At 38.1% G+C, this 21,528-nt stretch overlaps 1 protein-coding gene across 8 annotated transcripts in view; it reads right to left on the bottom strand.

The window, feature by feature from the left end:
• The window catches only part of ATRNL1 (attractin like 1), an 855,635-nt gene that overhangs the window by 76,456 nt on the left and 757,651 nt on the right, over positions 1-21,528 (bottom strand). Inside the window, exon 29 of one of the 8 annotated variants that reach the window (XM_017016035.3) lies at positions 12,325-18,012. The exons of the other annotated variants lie outside the window; for them this stretch is intronic. Coding sequence (XP_016871524.1) covers positions 17,918-18,012 — 95 coding nt within the window. The 3' untranslated portion in view covers positions 12,325-17,917. Of the gene's footprint in view, positions 1-12,324; positions 18,013-21,528 lie in introns of those variants that run through there. 8 annotated transcript variants of the gene reach the window in all.

The raw sequence follows: 21,528 nt of genomic DNA, 5'->3' as shown, positions 1-21,528 counted from the left end.
GCTGGTGTTTATTTAACACCTTTTGTGATGAGCTCTCACTTTTTTTGTCCGTTTGAATTTTGACTTGATATTAATTTATCTTTATCTTCTGATTAACACACTTCTACCTTTGTGACCTAGAGTCAAATTTTCCTTTGAATAGGCTAGTCTAAACACAAACGTTGGAATTGGACAGTACCCACTTCTGAATAAGACTTTTAAGCTGGCATAGTCTCTATTAGGCTTTTGAACTTTTAACAACAGAAAGCACTGACATCTTTCTGTCAACATATTCCTGAACCACAAATTGTGCATACATTAGAAATTCTCTAGAAATGACATAGAAAGGCTAGGAAGCAAATGTATTCTTGTAGTGCAGGTCTGCAAGTCCCGGTAATTTCAGAATATACCACATAAGCTGAAAAGATGGCAGATGCAAGAATTGGATTTAACCATAGATGATAACCCAATTTTCTCCATAGCACTGTAACTCAATAAGTCTTTAATGGCTTCTTAGATAAACAGATGGATGTCATCAAAAGGCACAGGATGATAAATCTGATTGGTGTCTGAATAATTTGAGCTGCTTTATCCCCAAAACAAGTAGCAAGAGAAAAATGGGAGAACACACACTTAAGCCCCAGCATGGGAGTTTAAATTATTTGATTAGAAACAGTTGTATTTTCCCAGTGGCATAATATTGAAAACAACCAGAATGGCAAAGTCCAGGAAGTGCAATCTATCTTTTTAATTAGGGTTCTTCTTTTGAAGATTTATATTGTTTAGTTTAGCTGTGTTTATTATTATTTAGTTGACTCAGTTTATTTTCATACAAATTTTCAAATATTCAATTAAGCCCTTTGGAAAATTATGACTTTCAATTATCCATGATAGCCCAGAGTTTATAGACCCTCATGTCCATGGTCATGTCAATTTCTGCTGCTCAAGCAGTTCCTGCTTCTTTGAGTAGTTCCTTTCCTTGGATGCTTTTCATTTAGCTTATTTATTCATCTGGATCATGCAGTGGAATTAGATTTCAAATGGTTCATTGTCAAAAGTCATATATATATATATATATATATATACACACACACAAAGAATCTGACCAGGCCTTTCTAGGACCGGTACTGTCAAATTCTAGACACACTCTGATAACCTCAACCTATCAGTGAGATTTATCCAGATGAATCTAAGAGAAAGGCTATGGCAAAAAAAAAAAAGTCCTAAAAGGAAATATGCCTTTTGTTGTCATTGTCATTGTTATATCTGGGTTGTAAGATTATGGGAAATTTGTAAGATTATGGGAATAATGCCTTAGTGTAAAGGGGAAAGTATCAGATGGGTGGTAATGCTAATGGTCCTTGTCCCCAGTATAAGACACTGCTTTCAAATATGTCTGAGAGATCCAAAAGTTTACTGAGTACAATCATGATAAAAAAAAGAAAAACTTTTCAAGGACAGAACCGAAATATTATTGGGATCCTAGTTGAAAAAAAGCATTCCTTTTATTCCCAAAACTCAAGCAATTGCTTTAAAATATTTGTGTTATCTAATGTTACTTCCTCTGCTAAAGTTAATTCTTAGCAACTCGAAATAATAATAGTAGGAAATTTGTATATAGCATTTACTATGGGCCTGATATTGTTCCTAGAAATTTATATGTTTTAACTCACTTACTCTTCATGACAACTATAAAGAAAAGAACTATTATTATCTTCAAATTATGATGAGAAAACTAAGGCACAGATAGATTAAGTAACTTGCCTAAGATCACACAGCTACTAAATTGTAGAGCTAGGAATTAAATCTCAGACAGTCTGGCTCCAGAGTCTATGCTCTTAGCCATTTTAATGTTTTACTGCGTTTCATAAAACCTTGATTGATATATAAAGATATGCACGATATTATCAGAAATAATGTCAAGATGGATTGGTTAGGTCACACTGAATATGAGGATAATAATCTCTGCTTTGGAATCTGGTTACTTAGTTATGCAGGCTGGGGAGTTCAGGGGTTAGTCCTTCAGGAGCAGTTGGGTCCCAGATAACCAGTGCTTACCTCAAATGCTTTTAGGATGCAGGTATGTGTCAAATAATAAACTGCATATTCCAAAAGCACTAGCTACATATTGGTATACTTTGCTACCTGGCCCTTCATATGCAAAAGGATGGCCTTATCTTAATTTCAGATGATTTCTGCTAGACTCTTCCTCTATTAGGCCTCTGCCAGGCTTCTGGTTTGCCAAAGGCAGGAGCCAATAGCTAGTCAATTGTGATCAACCCCTTGATTTGGAAAATCTGACTGCCTTGCTATGTCCCACTGCCATTTTCCTTAGGGAGAGAGTATGGCCATTTACCATAATTTACTTTTTTGTGATATTCAAAATACCTCAGTTGGCTGAGAAAAGTTGGTAAAATTTTCCTGAAAAACAATTTAGCAATATGTATTGATAAACCTAAGTATGGTTCATACATACTAGCTTCAGAACAAGTAATGTGTCCCAAGGAAATAACCAGAGATGTGGACAAAAGTTTTACCCAGAAATCTTTTTCATGGCGTTATTTATAACACCAAAAAAAAAAAAAAAAAAAAAAAAAAAAGGTCTGGGAACAACATAAATACCCAAGAAGAGGAGAATAATTAGGAAGTTTATGATACATCCATAAAAAGCAATATGCAGTCATTAAAATTATATTGCTGAATAATTTTTAATGACATGGAGAAATACTCATTTTATAACATTCAGCAAAAATGCAGAATACAGAACTTCATTAAAAAATGATGCCGCTTATGTAAAAAGAAATCCAAATATGTCTAAAGTCCTGAATAAAATATGTGTTTTATTGGTTATCTCGGGGTTGTAAGATTTTTGTTTCTGTTTCCTAAATTTTAAACAATGAAAACATTAATTTTATAATCAGAAAATCAACCTATAAAACATAAATAGCCATGAGCTACGGGGGAGACTAGCATATGTTTGTGTGTGGTGGTGGGAGATGAGTGGAAATGAACAGTAGAAGAGAAATGAGTCCTCCTTTCCCAGAAGGAATATCCCAACACCCCTGGCCCCTCTTCCACCTCCCCTGTCCACAGCACCTGTGCATGCAGGCATGCACTCACAGGCACACACATGTAGACAAATATCTGACTGCCCAAGGAGCCTAGCTCTTTCCCACTAATGTTGGGGATTCCTGGCTACTACAGATGAGAACAGAGTCAAAGCCTCCCATTGTATATTTTTATGCAAATTGCTCTGGCTAATCATGCTCCCACTATGAGGCCTTAAATTCTTTAGGCTAAAAGTAGACTGGACAGCTCTTTTAATACCCCTTTGCAGATTTTGTAATGCCTTATAGGTTGTGAAACACGTTGTGTGTCCTGGTAGCTTTAGGATAATTCCAAAAATAAAAGCCACCAATTAAAAGAATAAAGACTTGGCCGGCTGCGGTGGCTCACGCCTGTAATCCCAGCACTTTGGGAGGCCGAGGCGGGCGGATCACGAGGTCAGGAGATCAAGACAATCCTGGCCAACATGGTGAAACCCCGTCTCTACTAAAAATACAAAAAATTAGCCGGGCGTGGTGGCGGGCGCCTGTACTCCCAGCTACTCGGGCGGCTGAGGCAGGAGAATGGCGTGAACCTGGGAGGCGGAGCTTGCAGTGAGCCGAGATCGCGCCACTGCACTCCAGCCTGGGCGACAGAGCGAGACTCCGTCTCAAAAAAAAAAAAAAAAAAAAAAAAAGAATAAAGACTTGCCACCAGATATATTCAAAAGAATATATTGTGGGCTTTGAAAACAATTTAAAAGGAGCCGAAACCTCTTTTGAGCCACATCAGTATTATATGAAACCCATTGGCATTGGCCTGGGAGTTAGGAGACCTGAGGTCACATGCTGGTTCTCCTAATAATCAGCTGTATGACCCTGGGCGAACTGCATGCCTTCTTTAGGGCTTCTGTGTCTCTGTGTGTAAAATGAGAGGCAGAGAGTATGCATTCATTCATTCATTCAGTGAAGCATTGACGGTCTGTGATATCAGGTGTGTGCTGGACATAGAGGATACTGTGATAAAGAAAGATGGCCCTCGCCTCCATGCTGCTCTTAGTTTAGTTAAGGAGGCAGATGATAACTCTTAGGGTAATGAGTGGGTTGGAGAAAATGAGAGTGCACCCAATTGTCCCTATTAAGAGACTTGGCGGTCACGGGTAACCTCATTGGTGAGAGTTTTAATACAGAAGTGAGTACTGAAGTCAGATTACAATGGGCTAGGGAATAAATGAAGATGGCAATAATAGATGGTAATGTAAGAAATTTTGGAAGAAGATGAAAGAGAAGGCAAAGGAGCTAGAATAAGTTGTAACTCCCAGAGTCTTCTCTTACCTAAAATACTAAGATGCATATCACTCGAATATATACATTTGACCTTCCAAGGTAACAGTCTTGAAAAGGGCAGCAACCAATTCAATGTATAAGCTCTATGTTTGTATAAAAGTCACATCATGGGCTGGGCATGGTGGCTTAAGCCTGTAATCCCAGCACTTTGGGAGGCTGAGGCAGATGGATAGCTTGAGGCCAGGAGTTCGAGACCAGCCTCACCAACATGGCAAAACCCCATCACTACTAAAATACAAAAAAATTAAATTAAATTAAATTAAAAAATAAATAGCTGGGAGTGGTGGCACATGCCTGTGATCCCAGCTATTTGAAAGGCTGAGGCAGGAGAATCACTTGAACCGGGAGGTGGAGGTTGCAGTGAGCCAAGATCGTGCCACTGCACTCCAGCCTGGGCGACAGAGTGAGACTTTGTCTCAAAAAATTAAAAAAAAAAAAAAAAATTCACAGGGTGGCCACATTCCAAACACTAAAAGGAAATAAGATGTGGAATTATTACTGTGAGAAACTGTGTGTTCCCAATCTGTGGCTATGTTAAAAAATATAAGATGGAAGCGGCACAAGACAGAGGGCTGAACAAGATGAACTCTAGTTGTCTGATCCTGTTATGCTAATGACACTGAACTTGGAAGAGAGGAAAGAGGACTACTTCAGTGAGAGGAAAAAGCATATGAGGACCCCTAAGCAGCCTGCCAGGCTGCTGCTTCCAGTAAGGAGACTTTGACCTTGACTTGTACCATTCTTTTCTATTAAAGATGGTATAAGTAAATGGAAACTTCCTCTTATTATATGACATGGAAAAAACGTTAATGCTTAAGCAGTTAGTTGCTTGGTATTCCTAGATGTGTTATCAAGATGACATTAAATCTAACAAGTGACAGCATGGAATTCTATTGCTCTAAAAAAAGAAATCCAAAAAATGAATTTAATTGTATAAAACAGTTAATATTTTCAATTAAAATTTCTAGGTAATTCTTACATTACCAGCTCAACATTAACACTTTCTTAAAGGACAAATATGGCTTTATTTTTTTAAAGAAAAAAATATGTTTTTTACTCTGTGAAAAATAGGAATTTCAGAAAGGCAGTTACATTCATCTTTACTGGTCAGAATTCAGACTTATTATGGTAAAGGTTTGAATTTACTTTCTCATTAGCATTTTATCAATTGGACCAATTAGTCTGAGCAAGCCTGAAATTCACAGGATTTCCTAAAACTGACATCTGTTCCCTTCTTAAGCTGCTGGTGACACACATGATGTAAATTTACCAATTACGAGACTCAGAGGCGGATGTGCATCAGCAGCGGTGAAGCCTTGGGTTTGAATCTGAAGTGCTCTGGGACAAAAGATAAAAATCATGTTTGATCTTTGAATTACTCTTTAAAATCCCTTGTAGCTTTTCTTCTCGCTCCTTTAAAAAAAACTCCCATAAAACAGCAGATTAAATATAAGCTTAACATATTTCATGTTGGTGCCATTTTTCCTTCTTAGTTTTCTATGCTGTATTTAATGCTTTCCTGTCAGGAAACACTAGAGTACTGTACAAGGATTAAAGGCATAAACTGTAGAGTAGACACAAAAACTAGGTTCATATCTTGGTCCTGTCAATTATGAACTCTCTAACTACTGGTAGGTTTTTGAACTTTGATTTTGCTAATTTGTCAAATAGACACAGTAGTATCTACCTTACAGAGTTACTGCAAGATTAAATGAGAAAACATAAGAAAATACTTTTATGATAGTGACTGAATCACAGTAAGTACCTGATAAATGGTGGTTTTTGTTTGTTTTGGTTTTGGTTTCTGTGTATCTTTTGGACAGTTCCATAGACTACTTGAATGTATTTTCTAAGTTCAGAAAAAGTCATAATAGGAATGACATTTGCATTAGGAGCCCCACTCCTTATAATTGTTCAGAACACCATGTTCGTGTCAACATAATTTATGAATATTTTAATGGGAAAGAGCTTCTTAGCCTAATATTATAGTCTTGAGATGCTTAATTATCTAAAGCATTAAAAAATTTTAACAAAAATATGGCAGCACATTATAAGCACAGTGTAATTTAGTAAATATATATCCTCTTGTTTTAAAATTTTATTAACTTTGCTCCAAATGCTGCATTAGGAGTTCTACACTTTTTGATTTATCTATAAAACATGGTTTTAAAATGATAGGCAGAATTAGAGAAAAAAAATCCACAAACTATTTAAAAGTCACTATTTCTAAAAACAAGGCAATTCTCATGAACAAAATAAACATGAACATTTTGTTCAACAATCCAGGAAAAGAAAAAGAATCAAGGGAAAGATTCCAGAGGACAGCACAGAAGTGTCCATAAGATTTGCCCCTTTTCAGCAGCTAATGTGTGAGTGAGTGGCCTAGCAGACAAAGCCTCAGATACCTCAGCAGGGAAACTCAGCATACGGCGTCACACAGACCTGGCTCTAAAATCAGGTCTGCAACTTGCTTGCTCTAAAATCTTAAAATAAAAAATGTGGGGCAAGTAAAGAAACCTTTCTGTAACCTCATTTCTTTACCTGTAAGATAGGGGTATTTTTCTATAATGGGAACATGGCTATACTATGTTATGTTCAAGAATACAGTGAGACTACTTAATAAATAGAGATACACATACATATATAAAAATTGTAGGTTAAGTAAGCTTTTGAGGCTGGCCCAGGAACCATATAATGAAATAAATATGATTTCTATGACAAAATAGAGCCTGTAAACTATAGATTGAACTTTGGAATATGACCAACTTATAAAAGAGTCCTGACAAAATACTTCTATTAGCTTTTTACTTTGAGATAAATTTAGACATGCAGGAACACTGCAAATGAGTACAGAGATCTCATTTGCTCTTCATTCAGCTTCCCCAAATGAAAACATTTTACATAACCAGAGTACAATGATTAACACTGGAAAATCAACATTAATATACTATTATTGAGTAATCAACAAACCCTATTTGAATTTTACCAGTTTTCTCAGTTATATATTATTTTTGGTCCAGGATTTAATGCAGGATTTTATTGCGTGTATATGTTATTAGACTCCAATGTATTATTTCCTCAGTCTTTCTTTGTCTTTTATGACCTTGGCACTTTTGAAGAGTTTTGGTGGTTTTGTTTTGTAAACTGTCCCTCAATTTGGATTTGTCTGGTCTTTTCTTTTTTTTTTTTTTTTAGACGGAGTCTCGCTCTGTCGCCCAGGCTGGAGTGCAATGGCACCATCTCGGCTCACTGCAAGCTCCGCCTCCTGGGTTCACGCCATTCTCCTGCCTCAGCCTCCCAAGTAGCTGGGACTACAGGCACCTGCCACCACGCCTGGCTAATTTTTTGTATTTTTCATAGAGACGGGGTTTCATCGTGTTAGCCGGGATGGTCTCGATCTCCCGACCTTGTGATCCGCCCACCTCGGCCTCCCAAAGTGCTGGGATTACAGGCGTGAGCCACCGCGCCCGGCCTCTTTTCTTGTGATTACATTGGTGTTACACATTTAAGAAGAATACCACAGAAGTGATATTTTGCTCTTCTCCATGCAACATGTCAGCAGGCATATGATTTCTATATGTTTAATTACTAGCTATATTGACCTTGATCATTTGGATAAGTCATGTCTGCTAGGGTTCTTTATTACAAATTTACTGCTTTCCCCTTTGTAATCAATAAATGTCTTGTGGGAAGATACTCTGACTATACAAATGTGTTGTTTTACAATGTGTTTTGTCCTATTAACTTTAGATTTCATCAATGGTTCTTACCTTTAACAATTACTACTGTGGTATTTGTCTAATGGTGATTTTTCTATTTCCCTTATTTCTACATCCATTAATTAGAATTCTACTATAAGAAACCACTGCTCTCTTCTCTCCCACTTCTTTTTTTTTTTTTTTCTTGTGACACTGGGTCTCACTCTGTTACCCAGGCTCCGAGGCTGGAGTGCAGTGGTGCAATCTCAGCTTACTGCAGCCTCAATCTCATGGGATCAAGCGATCCTCCCACCTCAGCCTCTTGAATAGCTGGAACTATAGGCACATGCCACCATGGCTGGCTAATTTTTGTATTTTTTGTGGAGACAGGTTTTTATCATATTGACCGGGCTGGTCTCGAACTATCTATTCTTTATCTATTCAATCTTTCAGTGTGGACTCATGGATCATACATTTATTGAGTAATAATCCAATACTATACTTATTTACTTTGTTCGAGTTGTTCCAACTTTGGCCATTAGCTGCTCCTTCAGGTTGGCTCCTAAGTCCTTTTAACATGTCTTCACAATTTTTTGAGTACTTATTTTCTGGAACCATTAGATATTCCAAGCTTATCTTGTGGTTGGCCCTTCTTAGCCCTGGAATCAACCATATACCCAAAAGTCCTTGTTCATTTTATTGGAGAATGGTGTTAAAAAACCAAGAGATGAGTGCTAAGTACATTTATTGCTACTGAGATATCATTGCTTCTAGGACCTCTCAGCAGGCAGCATTAAGAAACATACAATTGTATACCAACACACGTGCATACATCTATATTTCTATGTGCATCCACCTACAGTGAATAAACTCATACTGATCCCTCTAATTCCAACCCAATGCCACAGGGTTCATTCTAGTCTTCTCACTTTCCTCATATGTATCATTTTTCTCTGACAGTGAGAAAACTAGCTCTCATTACCCAGAAAATATTTACTTTGTTCAATCCTAGCATGGACATTAAATAGTGTCAGAATTGCTGGTCCATGCTCCTGTTTGTAGAAGAAACAAATATACAACTATAGTACATTCATATATATATTTTTGGTTGCTTTTGGTGTTACAGTATATAGTCAAAATAATCATTTTCTAAAGGTACTTAGGTTGCTCTTTTCTTCCCTATACCCCCAGCATAGTTATTTATTCATTTGAATACATTTAGGTTCATTTTTTACAGTTCGTATTTCATTTTGGGTTCTCCCACATCCTAACTGATTGGGTAGGTGAAAGGTCAGGTTTTTTCTAAGGGTCAGAGTTATATACAAAAGTGTACTCAGAGAAGTGTCCCTCCAACTCCCCCTCTCATTGCTCCATTTTTATACCCCATTTCGCTTTATTTCCTGTAGGTAAACAGTCTTGTTGGTTTCTGACTTATCTTTCTTTACATCTTTTGCAAAAATGAGTAGACGTTTGTAGATTTCCTTATAGTCCCTATTTCTTACTTTAGGGACAGACACTCTAGATATCTGTATGCACTTTACTTTTCTCACTTAATATATTTTGGAAATAATTTCATATGAGTTTCTCAAGGTCTTCCTTGTTCTTTCTTACAGGTACAGTGTATTCCATTTATGCATGTACCAAATTCATTTTACTGCTTCCCTATGTATGGTCATTCAGGTTATTTCCAACATTTTGTGATTACAAAAAAGTACTAAAATAAATAACTCATGCATATGTAGTTTCATATTGCTGGAGGTGTATTTTAGGGTAAATTCCTAGAAGTGGGACTGCTGGGTCAAAAGAGTACAAGTGTAGCTGTGTTAGGTCTTGTCAAATTCCCCTCCAACACGGTTGTTGTACCAGCTTGCATTCTTCCCAGCACTAGGTTGCCACACTTTTTAAATTTCACCAACATAAGAGGTAAGAAATAGTATTTCAGTAGTGTTTTAATTTGCATTTCTGAGAAATACTTTTAATGCATATGAAAAAAGTTGGCTGAGGGGAAGTTCAAGTGGACAGGCAAGAGCTGCACAAAGAGCTAAAATGGAACTTAGGAGTGCTGTGACAAGACTATAAGTCACCTAAGAAGCTGACAAAACATGATGATTCTGAAGCATCAGGGAAGGTGAAAAGCAATAAAGCGAGGACTAAAGTGATCCACTGGAAACATAAAGGGAAACAGAATATAACCTGTAATGCAGTAGGCAATAAGTTTAAAAATTTGGCTTGTTTTTATATGTAACAGAAAATACTAATAACAAATAATGCTTTAAAAAGAGACTTTCAAAGTGCTTGAAAAATTTCAGTCTTAAAGAACAACTGTGATCTAAAAATCCACAACAAAGGATACAGGAGCCAGGTAGCCTAGCAAGAGTCAGCAGAAACTATAAATGGATGGTCCAAGGAGCAGAAGCAGAGTCTGGTGAGTCATACCCAGGTCATCAAGAAAAGTGGTAAGGGCTCTGATCCTGCTTAAAGCACTGAGAATAAAGAATCTATGAAACATTATTTTTTTTTCTTTTCTAATTTTTGTAGAGATGGGGGTCTCACTATGTTGCCTGGGTTTGTCTCAGACTCCTGGCCTCAAGCGATCCTCATACCTTGGCCTCTCAAAGCACTGAGATTACAGGTGTGAGCTACTGCTCCTGGCCTCATTTTTGAGAAAAGGAAAAAGAATGGTGTTAAAAATGATCAAACAATGATCTTATGAATGACCAGAGTATCAAAGTGATATTTTTATATCTGGAAAAAAATAACAAAAGACCGAAACAAATTTGTTAAACATAGAAAAAATCATGTATTGCGAAATGACTACTAAGACTTGAGACAAATAGGTCACAAGGATGGGGCTGAGACAACAGGCCTAGTTAGTAGTAAGGAACTGATTTAACCTCAATAAAGTTTTCATAAGCCAAATTTCAGGCCAGAGATTAGGGTGGTTTATCATTTTTAAAACCTGAGAAGCATCTATAATTAATTTATAGCAAGGTACATGACAAAGGGCAGTAGAAAGTGTGAATTTACAGCTAGCTTAAGAGTTGGACTCTGGGACATTAGCACCAACATGCACAGGTAAGAAAAGTGGGGGAAATAATTAAGCAAATTGTCTTTTACTATGTTGTAGGCACAATTTAGCCCCTACAGAAATAATAAGGGAAACATCCCTGCCCTTAGCTCGCCTGGGTGGGACGGAGACAGCGTAAGAAAAATTTTATAATAGTAAATGAAAAAGCAAAGCAGAGGACTGAGGATGGGTAAACATGGGGACTAGTTTCATGAAAGAGGTGACCTTTGAATTCGAAATTCTCTTGGTGCAAAAGGGGAGGTGTGTATATCGGAGAGGGGCTGATGGGTAGGACAATCTAGGCAGAGGCAATGGTACCTGCAGAGGGTACCAGAACAAACAGAAATACAGAGTCCCTTTGTATTTCATGTCTCTTGAATCAATAATATTTGGGAAGGTTGAAGAGCATTCTGAGAGTCACCAGATGACTCAGGCTAGGAGCCAGGCTCTTCAAAGGCCCAGATGGAAGGACTGGGAGTGCTGTATTGAACCTGAACTGAAGGCTGGGTGGTGATTTCAAAACTGCCTTCTACCACATGATGGATTATTATAGGGAGCATAATTAGCTGTTCTCTATTTCTAGAGAGATGAGAACAAGAAGAAAGAGAACAAAAGAAAATGGAATCAAATTGCAGTGAAGACTGTTAAATAACAGAATGAATTAGTCCCGGAAGTTATCAGCATGACTTTTGGGAATGTCTTTAGAAACAGTCTGTCTGTCCAAGATGATTCTGGACAGGGTCACCAGCTGTGGCTGCATGCAGTTGGAGGAGCCATATGTCATTTCAGTGCCCTTCCTAGCTCTGTGTTTCTGCAGTTGTATAATATTATGCATAAATAGAGTAATACCAAATTATCCCATTTATACATTTTTTTTTATGTATCTATTTTATGTATCTATTAATATGGACAACAGCTTCCTTTCCATTTTACCAGTAAAGTTCTGAATACAAATGTAACTCAGCCTCTCTCCATTACAGCTCTGCCTTCAGAGTTAATTGCCTTGCAGAACACTTAAGGAGTCATTTTTCATTGTGATGGTGAGCAAAGGGAAGGCAGATGGCACAGTCATGTTATTGATTTGATGATCCTTGCCTGGCTTGTTGAATAAATGGAACTGAATGTATGGTCACTGCATCCAGATTTTTAGGGGCTTCAAGGTTCAATTCAAATTATATCAGACAGCAGGTTCAGAGAACAAGAATCTTTATTCCCTCAAAGCTTCTAAATGATGATCCCAGGGACCATGTAGGATTCCTCAAACCACCTCCCTGAAGTCCTGTGGACCAGTTTCAGTCCCAGCTCCTAAGGAAGAAGATGAACTCTCTCATATTTTTTCCAGTGCTTTTACCTGCATGAAAGCTTTGGATATGCTACCCATCAGTGAGAGAAGCCTGCTCAACTTGCATGGGCTATGCTCATTTGCAAATTTGCAAATTATAAAGTGGATAAAAGGAAATGAATTACTCTCTTTTCAGAGGGCCATTAACTTTTTCCCTACAAGCTCTTAGAGAAAGATCACTGTGGTCTTAAGGAGTTAATATAATTGTAATCAACATTTACCTTTTATAGAATTACATTTTTACTGCTGGCACTTGCTCCTCCACCAGGACTTCCATTAAGAGTAAGGGGACATCCATACTCAAAAATGCCTTTGGTAGATACTATGGCACCATTAAACAGTCTGTGGGAGGACCCGAGATTAAACCAGCTATCAGTATAACATGGAGTTTTGATCAAAACTTGAACATACTTCTGGATTTGCTGACGGACCACTGGCCCTATGAGGTGACCCCCAGAAAAATGTTTCTGTGACTAGAAGGAATTTGCAGGGCCACTTACCCAGTCTTAGCCTTTACATATTTTCTCAAGTCACTTAATTTTCCTTTCTGGATCTAGGGAGTTCCCTTCTGCCTGCCTTTTCTGGGCTCTGTGTGGCAGAATTGTGCAGTACTGCCTGCTGGTAAGAGGTGAATTATATTATTTTCTTTTTCTGGTTAGGTTTTGCAACATGTTACAATAAATATGAGGGAGGGGTAATATGAGCAGGGACTACAACCAAGGTCTCTGGATCTCTCGCTCCCTGCTTGAGAGATCCAGACACCTTGGTTCTAGTCATTCTGAGACTCAGAACCCTTCCATTCTTTTTAACTACAGAAGAAGCCTGCTATGGCCTGAATGTTTGTGCCCCACCTTCTACCAAATTCATACATTGAAGCACTAATCCCTAATATAATGGTATTTGGAGGTGGGGGGTTTTTGGGGAGGACTAATTAGGTTTAGATAAGGGCAAGAGAGTGGAGCTTCAGGATGAGATTAGTGCCCTTATAAGAAGAAATCAGAGCTCTTTTTCTCTGCCATGTGAGGATACAGCTATAGGTGATCATCTGCAAACCAGGAAAAGGGCCCTTACCAGACACCAAATTGTCCAGGCATCTTGATCTTGGACTTCCCAGCCTCCAGAACTGTGAGAAACAAATGTTTGTTGTTTAAGTCACCGAGACTCTAATATTTTATTATAGCAGCCCGAGGTAATGAAGGCAGCAAACTTCTGTTAAATTCTCCCAAACCTATGTAAAGTAGGACTATTTAATTCATAACCAATTAAAAGTAATTTTTTTTACCAATTGGCAGTTTTATATAAACCATGGTGTCAGCTATCATAAAAAAAAATGGAGGACCTCACAAACTTACCCTTAACATTTATTTTATTTTAAGTTCCGAGGTCCATGTGCAGATGTGCAGGTTTGTTACATAGGTAAACGTGTGCCATGGTGGTTTGCTGAACCTATCAACCCATCACCTAGGTTTTAAGCCCAGCATGCATTAGCTATTTTTCCTAATGCTCTCTCCACAACCCCTCTCTCCCCCGACAGGCTCCAGTGTATGTTGTTCCCCTCACTATTTCCATGTGTTCTCATTGTTCAGCTCCCAGTTAGAAATAAGAACATGCAGTATTTGGCTTTCTCTTCCTGTGTTAGTTTGCTCAGGATAATGGCTTTCAGCTTCATCCATGTCCCTGCAAAGGACATGATCTCATTCCTTTTTATGGCTGTATAGTACTCCATGGTGTATATATACCACCACATTTTCTTTATCCAGGCTATCATTGATGGGCATTTTGGTCTTTGTCTTTGCTATTGTGAACAGTGCTGCAATGAACATATGCGTGCATGTATCTTTATAATAGAATTATTTATATTCCTTTGCGTAAACACTCAGCAATGGGATTGCTGGGTTAAATGGTATTTCCAGTTCTAAATCTTTGAGGAATTACCATACTGTCTTTCACAATAGTTGACCCATAACATTGTATTCACACCCACAACATTCTTGCTTTGTTGTTTTGTTGCTTCAAAGGCAGCTTGGGTATTGCAACACATTTTGATTTTCCTCTTTGGTTTTGTAAGTTGTCTTGTTGAGTTTTAATTTTTTCCTGTTTTTCTCTTTGAGCACAGTAATTATTAACAGTGAATTCCAGAAATACCAGAAAGAGGTGGCAGGTGGGAAAGAAGAAAAAAGAAAAGAAAAATGTGTTGGTCACGTTTCAGTGCTAGTGGTCTCATTTTTCATTTCCATGAATCCTGATTTGTCATGTGAGTTTGTTTCTAATTGGTCAGTCTTTAAAGTATTTGAATTAACTTTTAAAGTTGACTCTTTTCTGCAGCATGTTTAATTAGCCATTTTCACTATTCTTTAAGCTTCTCATCCTTATTTTCTTTTGTTTCCTTTACATATTAATCAATTTCTCACAAAAGTGACGGAAAGATATATTTAAAAGTCTGAAATGGAAGGACCATCACCATGTCATTTTACAGTGACACTGGTCAGTAAAAGAAAAAGCTTGTGCTGTCCTCAAAACACAAACAGCTAATGGTCTTTACTCATAGCTAAGAAATGAAAAAACAAAACAAAACAAAAACATTTATAAAGAGCATTTTGATGTAAAAGTTTTCTGGTTTTAAATTCTGACTCCATAATTATTTACTATGTGACTGTAGGCAAGTTACTTAATATCCATGGTTCATTTTTCTCATATATAAAAGAAAAGTGATAACACAGTTGACCTTTGAATAAAATGGGGGTTGGAGTGCCAACCCCCTGTGCAGTTTAAAGTCCCTGTATAACTTTTCACTCCTCCAGAACTTAACTACTAATAGCCTATTTTTTATCAGAAGCCTTGCCAATAATCTAAACAGTTGATTAACACGTATTTTGTATGTTGTATATGTTATATATTGTATTATTACAATAAAGTAAGCTAGAAAAAGGAAAATGTTATTAAGAAAATCATAAAGAAGAGAAAATATATTTACTATTCATTAAGTGGAAATAGATCATTATAAAGATTTTTATCCTAATTGTCTTCATTTTTGAGTAAGCAGAGAAGGAGGAGGAGAAGGAAAAGGAGAGGCTGGTCTTGGTGTCTCAGGGTGGCAGAGACAGAAGAAAATCTGCATATAAATGAGCCCACACAGTTCAAACCCATGTTGTTCAAGGGTCAACTGCATATACCTCACAGCAAGGGCTCCCAACCCCAGGCTGCATACATGTACCAGCCTGTAGCCTATTGAGAACCGGGCCTCACAGCACTCACAGCAGAAGTTGTGCAATGGGTGGGTGTGAGTGAACATCACAGCCTGAGCTCCGCCTCCTGTCGGATCAGCGGAGGCATTAGATTCTCAAAGGAGCACGAACCCTATTGTGAACTGCGCATGTGAGGGATCTAGGCTGCAAACTCTTTGTGAGAATGTAACTAATGCCTGATGACCTGTAGTGCAACAGTTTAATCCCAAAACCATCACCCCTGCCACTGACCCCCAGGTCTGTGGAAAATTGTCTTCCACGAAACCCGTCCCTGGTGCCAAAAGGTTGGGGACTGCTGCCCTATAGGGTTACAGTAACTCAAAGGACAGCATGGTGCAAAGAATAGATTCACAACGAACAGTATGTATGGCTTTTTTTTTTTTTTTTTTTTTTGAGATGGAGCTTCGCTCTTGTTGCCCAGGCTGGAGTGCAATGGCACGATCTCGGTTTACTGCAACCTCTGCCTGCTGGGTTCAAGCGTTTCTCCTGCCTCAGCCTCCCCAGTAGCTGGGATTACGGGCATCTGCCACCACGCCTGGCTAATTTTTGTATTTTTAGTAGAGACGGGATTTCACTATGTTGGCCAGGCTAGTCCTGAATTCTGACCTCAGGTGATCCACCTGCCTCGGCCTCCCAAAGTGCTGGGATTACAGGCATGAGCTACCGTGCCTGGTCTTCCAAACAGTATGTTTTAATGACTACACCAACAATTGATGCTTTTTATTTGCCAGTTATCTTTTGTGAGGTTATCTGTCCTGAGTATAACTAATATGTGGACATTTCCATAAGATTCAAAGTAATTTATTTTTCTGGTCATAAAGGGTAGAATTGAGTTGGGCTCTTTCAAACTTAAATAAAATAGTTAAAAAAATTACTATCCAAGGAATAAATCAGTGTTCAAATCATGAAAACAGAAGATCTCTATGATAGGTTTCAGACATGCTACATTGGAAATATAAATTGCTTTATTGTTTTGTGTCATCTTTCACTAATATTCTCATGTTCATTGAAACTTAAAGCTAAACAAGTTAGTTTTCATAGATGTAATCCATTGAAAGTACAGTTTTGGGCTTGATTTCGGTCCCTGAGATATGTAGCTTGATCCATCCTACATGAATTATAAAAACACAAAATCCAGTCTATCGAGGTTATGGGCTTGAAGTGAAACTTTACATCGTAAAGTATACATTTGTGGAGTATACATCTTTTGCACATCTTTTTTGGTGAAGAGTCTCCAAAATTTAAAGATAATTTTATTCATCAATTAAATATTTATCAAGCAACTATTAAGTACCAGAAACTTGTTAGCAGCTAGGGATTCAAAGATGAAATAAGATATTGCCACTGCCTTCAGAGAGCTTACTACTGGGGAAAAAAGAAAAGAACATAGCAACTCTGATATATGTTAGAAGGCATGGATATATGTTAGAAGGTGTGGGATTTCAAGACAGTGAGGTCACATTTGTATGGAAGGGACTGAAAAGGTCTCAAGGAAGACGAAATAGCATTTGAACCAGGCTTTGAAAATAAGCAGCCTAACACAGGGGATTTCGGGTACAAGAAACAGCAGTATGACAGACCACACCTACACTCAGAGAATCATAAGAAAAATATGTATGGAATGATAGGCCTAGCAGCAATCACAAAGATATTTTATCTAGTCATTTTTCTAATGTTATACATGAAGAAACTAAAGGTCTGAGAGTTTAAAATAATTGTCCAAGGACCCCCATGTAGCCAGTGGTGCTGTGCAGGTAGGCTTAGGACTCTGAGGGTGCTAAACCTGGAAGAGAAGTTGAGGAGAAGTCAGAGAGGACCTTTCATTCCAGAGTAAACGTCTGGACCTATTTCAACAGGCAATGAAAAGTCTGCAAAGGTATGAGGAAGCGATATGATTAGAGCTGTGCCTTCCTTTGGGAGCAACCCAGGTGAGAAGCAACCACTCCCAGAACAAAGCATGGAGGGAATAAGAATGGAAAAAATAAGATGTCTTCTCTGTCCGCTCCAGGGATAAAATCTATAGAACTTCACGATTACTGAGATGTAAAAGGGCACAAAGAGAGAGAAGACAGGCTAATTTGAAGGTTTCAAACTTGAGCCATTCTGAAACAGACTTTACAAAAACAGACAAGTCAGGAGAGAAGAGCTGGTCTGGGGAATGGTGGGAAGTGACAGAGGAAAGGGGGAAGGACGGCTCACTTTACATCTGAACGGGAGGAAATCCAGGTTGAGATGCTGCTGCTCAGCAGGTGAGAGGTGTTGGCTGAAGACCCACAGGATCGGCAGTTAGCTGCAGAGAAGTTTTCCCTAAGTGAGTGGAGAGGTAAAAGAAGCTGGCTAAGGATCAGACCTGGGGGAATGCCTGTAGGCAAGGGGCAGATGAAGCTGAGGATGCACAGAAAGGAGGTGCTCTATAGCCATCGCCACTAAGTGAATTCTAAGTGGGTACCTGTGATGGGTCAAGGCACAAAACAACAGAGGAGGGGAAGGTTTCCAGAAGGTGGGGAGGTGAAGTGGGGGAATAATCGACAGTCAAACACTACAGAGATGCGAGAATTGAGGAAAGGGCATTTTAATGACTATGTTTATCACTCGATTACTGCTGTAGACAAATATTAAACTTAGCAATTGTCCATCTGTTTTATTTCATCTCTCTATTCTTTGTTCATAGCACTTTAACACAACTTGTAAGTATGAGTTTATTTGCATGATTATTTGTTGAATGTTTATCTCTGCATAGGCTGTAACCTCTATGAGGGCAGGAACACTGTTTGGTTCACTATAGTATATCCAGTGCTGTCATATAATAGACACTTTTACACGTTTCTTGAATGAGTAAGGGTAGCAAGTGGGGATTCACAATAACTGTATTTTGGATACAAGGTAAAATAGTTTCTTCTGTTGATTTTAAAGTCTTTTAATATCAGATATTTTTTGACACGGAGTCATATTTATTAACAAGAATCTCAGATATTTGTTCTTATCTCTGTTGTTTCCTGGGCTCTCTGCCTAATTTTCTAGTTTATTTTACCATGAATGCCACTTTTTCTTTCTTCTTTGTGAAGACACATACGCTGCCTATAAACAATATTTGTATTTGAGGTTAAAGGGTAACTAACATGCCAGATTTTTATAATGAAGTTTTGATATAATTCAGTAGTTCTATTTCTTATTCTAGCCACCTCTAACAAAGAAAGTGCTAAGATTATATCAACAGATGTGTTTCTACAAGTGTGAAGATATGGTGGCAGAATTATAAAAGAAAAACAAAGTGTGAAGGAATAGAAATTTCAGAGGCTGCTAGAAACTGGAAATTTGCTTTAAAAAACTGTGTTCAGAGGAGAAAGTACTACACTGTGAGCCAGCAGACCCGGAGTCCATTTCCAATCCATCTCTGAGATTATGGGAAATGTACCTCTCACTGGTAGTATTAGATTCCTTTTACTCAATTCTAAAATAGGGGCACTATAAACCATCTACATCTTTCAAACATGCTAGGAAGATTTCATTAACACAGTTTTAAGATTTTTTTAAATGTAAGGAGCAATGCTAATTATTTTTAGTCACTAATAATACATATGAAAATTAAGTTTCCCAATGGCTCTGAGCAACTGAAAAGATAAATCAAGGTACCACTCAGAAGCAAGTTATTTGCTCTCCCCACCCCAAACTGTCATGACTTAGCATAATTTGTAGTATTAAACTGTGCAGTGGGGTTAGAGTGAAACGCATCCTAGGAATCTAACCCGACCCCATCATTTTTCACATGGGAAAATAGAAGACCCAGAGACTGAAAGACTTGCCCATGGTCACATTGCTAGTCAGTGGCAGAGCTAGGTCTAGATCTTAGGGCTTGTGATTCCAAGTCCAGAGCTCAGACATACAAGTTTAATTTCTTTTCCTATGAGTTCACGGGCTTCTTCCTATTACATACACCGAGTCATAGTTTCATGAGCAGATGCGCCACGGCATGCACAGATTTGCATTTTACCAAATTTCTGAAGTCACCGGCAAAGATAAAATTGTCCTTACTACAATAAGCCCACTGCTCAGCAGAGACCCTCTAGGTCCTTCCTCCTTGACTCTGGATTTAAAGCTTTTTTAGGAATAAGGGCTATGCCCCAGTATCTTTATCCACAGGGACACAGTGATGAGGGAGAGTCACACTGGCTGAGGAGCCAGTGGCCCTGGGTTTGAATTCTGGCTCACTCACTCACTAGCTGCATTTACCCTGGGAAAGTCATTTAATCTCTCTAGAGTTTTGGTTTTCTAAATAGTAAAAGTGGGATAATCATCTCCACAGAATCATTAAGAGGGTCACACCAATGAATACATAAAGCGCTTAATATAATGCCTGGTCCTCTTTCCCTTTCCTCTTTTCATTAAATTAAACCAAAGTTATCTTATTGTTATCATTATAAACAAGAAAGACATCCATGACACCATGAGTAAACTATCATTTTAAACATTATGTAATATTTCTAGATTATTCAAAATAATCTAATCATTCTGCCCAAACTTCTAAGGCTAACGTAGAAAACTTCAGAATTTCAAAACCTTAGACTTTCTGGCAGTATTCTTTTGGTAATGGTATAGTCAATCATATATGAGGCAGGATCATGGCAAAATTCTACTTCCAGTTGTAGCACATAGCTTCTTTTCAGCAGTGGATATTTGGGCCATTGGGATTTTTGATTCAGTGAGAAAAGTTAATCTGCTTCTCATTAGGAAGAATCCACAAATTATGAAATCCATAATCTTCCATCACAAAGTGACAGCAATCATTATCATTTTCAATTTATGCATCTGAAGAGCTCTATTTACTTTGTCCACATTTCATCTTAATGTGCCTCTAAAACGCTTGGGGACCATGCTGTCCGGGGTGACTGGAGACATGCTTGGTTGTTAAGTGTCATGTAGGAGAGTTACTTAATGTGTCCTGTTTTCATGGAGATGTCAATCTTTCAACCACTTTGAGGTCAGAAGACAAAGTGGCTGCACAGTGAACATATGCATAAACAACAGCATAAATCCCACCTTAACCGAAGAGTCTGGCACGGATTGCAGTGGCTGCTCACAGAAAATACAGAAATGAAGCAGCAGGTTTACTGGGCGGGGAAGCAGGAAACCTAATTAGCCCAGCTCTAGGAATGCCAAAAAGCCTACTTAATATCTTTTGCCTTACTATTCTAAGCCCCCTAAAGGGAGAATTTCTCCCAAGCACCTAAATTTATTATATTAAAAAGAGATTAGTGCATGGGTAATCTAAGGGATGAGTTGGCACAGTTTTTCTTTTGACCTCTGGTTAAGACAAGATCCATAAGGAAGGGAGTTCACACATTTCAGAAAGAAACTAAAATGGCCATGTCTAAGCATTACTTGCCACATATTGCTGAAGCAGTTGCTGGTGGAAAGAAAATCAAGTCCAAAGATAATGCTATTTTTTAAATTAAAAAAAAAAAATCACTAGCTGCTCCTGAAAAGAGATGGCCAAACTAGCTCCTGTGCATTTCTGTCACTCATTTTCAGGGTTGAAATTCACTGTGTGAGAGAAATCCACCATGCTCATAGGATGCTTCTGCCTTTGCAGATCCTCAAGCTCATCCTTCTTAAATGCTCTTATTCATGCCAACGGAGAGTACACATGACACTGACATTTAGTAAGTTACATTTCAAACAAGGAGCCTGATAAAAAAAAAATTTTAGTAAGCTACATTTCAAACAAGGAGCCTGACAAAAAAATTTGAGATTATGCAAAGTACTATAAGACTTTTAATCTATAAGAAGACTCTTAATAATGAACGCT

The sequence above is a fragment of the Homo sapiens genome, chromosome 10 (genome assembly GCF_000001405.40).
Source record: "Homo sapiens chromosome 10, GRCh38.p14 Primary Assembly".
Lineage (NCBI taxonomy): Eukaryota > Metazoa > Chordata > Mammalia > Primates > Hominidae > Homo > Homo sapiens.
This window is presented reverse-complemented; position numbering and strand designations above follow the sequence as displayed.